General features: G+C 38.4%; 2 annotated features.

Moving 5' to 3' along the window:
- Positions 267 to 467: a silencer, noted in NCBI's record as "peak5052 fragment used in MPRA reporter construct". NCBI's record gives its function as "represses an SCP1 promoter by STARR-seq MPRAs in K562 erythroleukemia cells {active_cell/tissue: K562}" and the evidence as "EXISTENCE:reporter gene assay evidence [ECO:0000049][PMID:32103011]".
- Positions 3,845 to 4,380: an enhancer, noted in NCBI's record as "NANOG hESC enhancer chr4:70205243-70205778 (GRCh37/hg19 assembly coordinates)". NCBI's record gives its function as "activates a minimal SCP1, AML or CMV promoter by ChIP-STARR-seq in naive H9 embryonic stem cells {active_cell/tissue: H9 hESC(naive)}" and the evidence as "EXISTENCE:reporter gene assay evidence [ECO:0000049][PMID:30033119]".

Genomic DNA, 6,029 nt, shown 5'->3' with positions numbered 1-6,029 from the left:
ACAGAGTCAATAAGCAAAATAAAACAACATGCAGTAACTCAGGCTAAGGACCTGCATGCACACTAGAGGGAAGAGGTGGAGCTAACAAGAATTTGTATGTATGCAAATAAGACATCCAGTCCTAACCAGTTTTTCATGCCTTATGCACACAAAACACTGTGACTCATTAGCTTTTATTTTTGTATATAAAAGTCTGCATTCAACTGTGAAATGACAACCCTCTCAGTCTTCCTCTTCACAGTAGTCAGCTTTTCTCTTTCGCTTATTAAACTTCTCTTCCAACATTACCATTGGTGTCCACAATCCTTAAATTTTGGGTCTTGAGACAAAGAACTCCTGGTGATACTTCAAACAACAAGACTGCTCCAGTGACCCTAGGCTGCTTCACTGTAAAAGGTAAAGTAGAAGTTCCTTTTCAAAGACTTTTCTCCCCATCTAATTAAGAATAAATAGTAAGTTCTCTTAGAAGCAAAACTTATTCAAAGACCTGTGCTGACATTTTTAAATATCTGCTAGCCGTAATAAAGAAATCAATGTACTTTATGTTCTTAGCTCCTACAATGTAGCCTAAATATTTACTCTGGCATGCTCATACTGGTCAAAGCAAGCATTAGGATATAGTCTGTTCCTCTTCCTTATTTGAAGGTATTTTTTTTTTAGGGGGTGAGGGATAGGTCACTTACTTTTTTCTTTTATATATATATATTTTTAATTTATTGTGGTTTTAATTTTTTAAATTATCCTTTAAGTTCTAGGGCACATGTGCACAACGTGCAGGTTTGTTACATATGTATATATGTGCCATGTTGGTGTGCTGCACCTGTTAGCTGCACCCGTTAACTCGTCATTTACATTAGGTATGTCTCCTAATGCTACCACTCCCCCCTCCCCCCACTCCACTAACTACTGGCTCTGGTGGATGATGTTCCCTGTGTTCAAGTGTTCTCCTTGTTCAATTCCCACCTGTGTGTGACAACATGCATTGTTTGGTTTTCTGTCCTTGCGACAGTTTGCTCAGAATGGTGTTTTCCAGCTTCATCCATGTCCTTGCAAATGACATGAACTCATCGTTTTTTATGGCTGCTTATTATTTCATGATGTATATGTGCCACATTTTCTTAACCCAGTCTATCATTGATTGACATTTGAGTCGGTTTCAAGTCTTTGCTATTGTGAATAGCACCACAGTAAACATATGTGTGCATGTGTCTTTAAAGCAGCGTGATTTATAATCCTTTGGGCATATACCCAGTAATGGGATGGCTGGGTCAAATGGTATTTCTAGTTGTAGATCCTTGAGGAATTGCCACACTGTCTTCCAAAATGGTTGAACTAGTTTACAGTCCCACCAACAGTGTAAAGGGGTACCTATTTCTCCACATCCTCTCCAGCACCTGTTGTTTCCTGATTTTTTAATGATTGCCTTTTAACTGTTGTGAGATGGTATCTCATTGTGGTTTTTGATTTGCATTTCTCTGATGGCCAGTGATGATGAGCATTTTTTCTTGTGTCTTTTGGCTGCATAAGTGTCTTCTTTTGAGAAGTGTCTGTTCATATCCTCTGCCCACTTTTTGATGGGGTGGTTTGATTTCTTCTTGCAAATTTGTTTAAGTTCTTTGTAGATTCTGGATATTAGCCCTGTGTCAGATGGGTAAATTGTAAAAATTTTCTCCCATTCTGTCAGTTGCCTGTTCACTCTGATGGTAGTTTCTTTTGCTGTGCAGAAGCTCTTGAGTTTAATAAGACACCATTTGTCAACTGTGGCTTTTGTTACCATTGCTTTTGGTGTTTTAGTCATGAAGTCCTTGCCCATGCCTATGTCCTGAATGGTATTGCCTAGGTTTTCACCTAGGGTTTTGATGATTTTAGGTCTAACATGTAAGTCTTTAATCGATCTTGAATTAATTTTTGTATAAAGTGTAAGGAAGGGATCCAGTTTCAGCTTTCTACATATGGCTAGCCAGTTTTCCCAGCACTGTTTATTAAATAGGGAATCCTTTCCCCATTTCTTGTTTTTGTCAGGCTAGCCAAAGATCAGATGGTTGTAGATGTGTGGTATTACTTCTGAGGTTTCTATTCTGTTCCATTGGTCTGTATCTCTGTTTTGGTACCAGTACCATGCTGTTTTGGTTACTGTAGTCTTGTAGTATAGTTTGAAGTCAGGTAGCATGATGCCTCCAGCTTTGTTGTTTTGGCTTAGGATTGTCTTGGCAATGCCGGCTCTTTTTTGCTTCCATGTGAACTTTAAAGTAGTTTTTTCCAATTCTGTGAAGAAAGTCATTGGTAGCTTGATGGGGATGGCATTGAATCTATAAATTACTTTGGGCAGTATAGCCATTTTCACAATATTGATTTCTCCTATCCATGAGCATGGAATGTTCTTCCATTTGTTTGTGTCCTTTTATTTCGTTGAGCAGTGGTTTGTAGTTCTCCTTGAAGAGGTCCTTCACATCCCTTGTAAGTTGGATTCCTAGGTATTTTATTCTCTTTGAAGCAATTGTGAATGGGAGTTCACTCATGATTTGGCTCTCTGTTTGTCTGTTCTTTGTATATATGAATGCTTGTGATTTTTGCACATTGATTTTGTATCTTGAGACTTTGCTGAAGTTGTTTATCAGCTTAAGGAGATTTTGGGCTGAAATGATGGGGTTTTCTAACTTTGCAATCATGTCATCTGCATACGGGACAATTTGGCTTCCCCTTTTCTTAATTGAATACCCTTTATTTCTTTCTCCTGACTGATAGCCCTGAACTTCCAACACAACATTGAACAGGAGTGGTGAGAGAAGGCATCCCTGTCTTGTGCCAGTTTTCAAAGGGAATGCTTCCAGTTTTTTCCCATTCAGTATGATATTGGCTGTGGGTTTGTCATAGATAGCTATTATTCTGAGATACATCTCATCAATACCTAGTTTATTGAGAGTTATTTGAAGATACTTTTAACCTTTCTCAACATTCTTCAAGTTACATCCTCCTTCCTTTGTTCTCCTTTGACTTTTGCTCTTTTATAAAGTTCTAAGTTGTTAGCCAGTCAGGACAAATACAGAATGTGAGGTCCTATTCCTGCCAATAGAAACTGGACACAGCAGTGAGGTGGACACATCAAGTTTTGAATGACCCTGTCTCCTTTGTTCAGTGTACTGTTGTGGCAAAACAGCTGGTGCATTCACTCTTTCTGCAGAAAGTTAAAAAAAATGGCCTTGCTGAAGAAATAAATTTATTTTCAAGTGCTACTTCTTTATGGCACTGAAGAACAAGCATTTCAAAGATTCACTAAGACATGTAAGAAGGCAGAAACAACTTAACATTAAAACATGTGGGGTCTCACTTACAATCATCACACATTGATGCACCACACAAAAAACCCTAGGCCACAGCTTGGTTCCTCCTTTTAAGAACAAAAAGTGGGAAAAAATTTAAGAATGAGGAAAGACAAGGAGAAAAACTCCTTTGCAGCAATTTTTTGGTTTCGTGGGGCTTCCATGTGTAAGTGTTTGTGTAAAATGGAGAAGTTTGAGGGCATTCCACGTCTAATGGTTTAGGACCACCCCCCAGTGCTGTCTTATGGAGTTTTCAGAAAATCTGGTTGTTTAAAAGTGTGTAGCAGCTCCCCTCCACCTTCCCCCTACTCTGGTCAGTAGGACATATTGGCTTCCCCTTCACCTTCTCGGAATTATAAGTTTTCTTAGGCCTCCTCAGCCATGGTGCCTATACAACCTGGGAAACTGTGAGTAATTTAAACCTCTTTTCTTCATAAATTACCCAGTCTCAGGTAGTTCTTTACAGCAATATGGAAAAAATATGAGAATAAAGTAATACAGAAGATGTGAGAACAATGTGACAACAAACTAATACAAGAAACTAGAGAGGTGAGGCATTGCTATAAAGATACCTGAAAATGTGGAAGCAACTTTGGAGCTGGGTAATGGGCAGAGGTTGGAACAGTTTGGAGGGCTCAGAAAAAGACAGGAAGATGAGAAAAAGACAGGCAGATCCACAGGGCCAGAGCTGCCCAAAGCCTTGAGAGCCCTCCCATTGCATCCGTGTGCCCTGGATGGGAGACATGGAGTCAAAGGAAACTATTTTGAAGCTTTAAGATTTAATGAGTGTCCTGCTGGGTTTTGGAGTTGCCTGGGGCCTGTAGCCCCTTTGTTCTAATAACTTGCAATTTCTTTATCAATACTTGCTGCTTCACCTTACACTCTTATTTTATGAAGATGGCTTCTTAAACTCATGAATCAATCTCTACTAGTGTCAAACTTTTGATCTGCAGAATCCTCATCTCTCAGCCTTCATAGAATTAAAGAGAGTTAGGGCCTTGCTTTGGATTAGGCTTTGGTTTCAGGGAATGTTGAGAATAATTTGATCTTCTATCCAGACCACTAAAATTTTCTCCGTATCAGCAATACGCCTATTTCCCTTTCTTATCTTTTATGTGTTCACTGGAATAGCACTGTTAATTGCTTTAAATTTTTTTTCTTTTGCATTTGTAACTTGGCTAACTGGCAAGCAGTCTAGCTTTCTGCCTATCCAGGTTTTGACCTGCCCTCTTTACTAAGTTTCATTTCTAGCGTTTGATTTTACGTGAGTGATGTTCAACTCTTCCTTTCACTTGAACAAGTAAAGGCCATTGCAGAGTTATTAATTGGTCCAATATTGTATTGTTATGTCTCAAAAAATTGGAAGGCTCAAAGAGAGGGAAAAAAGATGAGAATGGCCATTTGGTGGAACAGTCAGAATATACACACTTACCAATTATGTTTGCAGTCTTATATGGGCGTGGATTATGGTACCCCCCAGCCCTCTGCCAAATTATAATAGTAACATCAGAAATCATTGATTGCAGATTGTCATCAGAGATATAATAATAATAAATAAAGTTAAAATGTTGTGAAAATTACCCAAATATGACACAAAAACACAAAGAAAGCACATACTGCAAAAATAACACCAATAATCTTGCTGGACACAGGGTTGCCAGAAACCTTCAACTTTTTTTAAAAACAGTAACTGCAAAGCTCAATAAAAGCAAAGAACAGTAAAATGAGGTATGCCTGTCTATTACACTTTTTATTCTGTTTAATCTCTTATATTCTTAGTGGCATATCTAGTTGAAGTTTTAATTTTTGTGCTTGATTTGTTAAAGATATAAATGATCTCATTTGCCTTACTAAAATTTTTGAAATCCTTACAAATTTTAAAAGGGTATATTTGCAAATTAATTGCAATTTTAAAACAAGTATATAAAAGAAAAATTAAGTATTATTGCCATTATGTGTATATAACTTTTTTTTTTTTTTTTTTTTGAGACAGAGTCCTGCTCTGTCATCCAGGCTGGAGTGCAATGGCCAGATGTCGGCTCATGGCAACCTCAGCCTTCCAGGTTCAAGCAATTCTCCCACCTCAGCCTCCAGAATAGCTGAGATTACAGGTGCACACCACCATGCCTGGCTAATTTTTTCAGTAGAGATGGGGTTTCACCACGTTGGTCACGCTGGTCTCGAACTCCTGTCCTCGTGATTCACCCGCCTTGGCCTCCCAAAGTGCTGGGATTACATGCATGAGCCGCTGTACCTGGCCCCATTATGTGTATATATTTAGAATGCAAAATAATTTATTTGGTATGTGTTTAAAATTTTTTTAGTAATTAATACTGATTTATACTTTGATGTTCGTCATTTTATTGTAATCTAGAGAGAGCTGTTCATATTTGTTCTAAGGCTGTCTATTCTCTTTAAATAAATGCAGTGATTGGCTAACATGTTTTGAAGGTGGGAAGCCATCTGCAGAGCTGAGCCTGCATACACTGGGAGGCTCCCTTTGCTCTCTGAAGCTGACCACCTGTAGCATAGAAGACTTGCTGCTTCTCAGTAATAGTTTCTCATAAGACTTTCCTTGGCCTTCAATTTGGCATTGTCTTTTGAGATAACTGGAATCAGAATCTCATTGTTCTTTGGCATGTTTTCTCCTGATCACCTATGCTGCCCTCACAACATTGTCCAGGGATACTCTGTTGTTTTTCTAGGGAA

Source organism: Homo sapiens, chromosome 4 (genome assembly GCF_000001405.40).
Source record: "Homo sapiens chromosome 4, GRCh38.p14 Primary Assembly".
Lineage (NCBI taxonomy): Eukaryota > Metazoa > Chordata > Mammalia > Primates > Hominidae > Homo > Homo sapiens.
The sequence above is the reverse complement of the archived record's forward strand: the minus strand, read 5'-3'. Positions and strand labels throughout refer to the sequence as shown.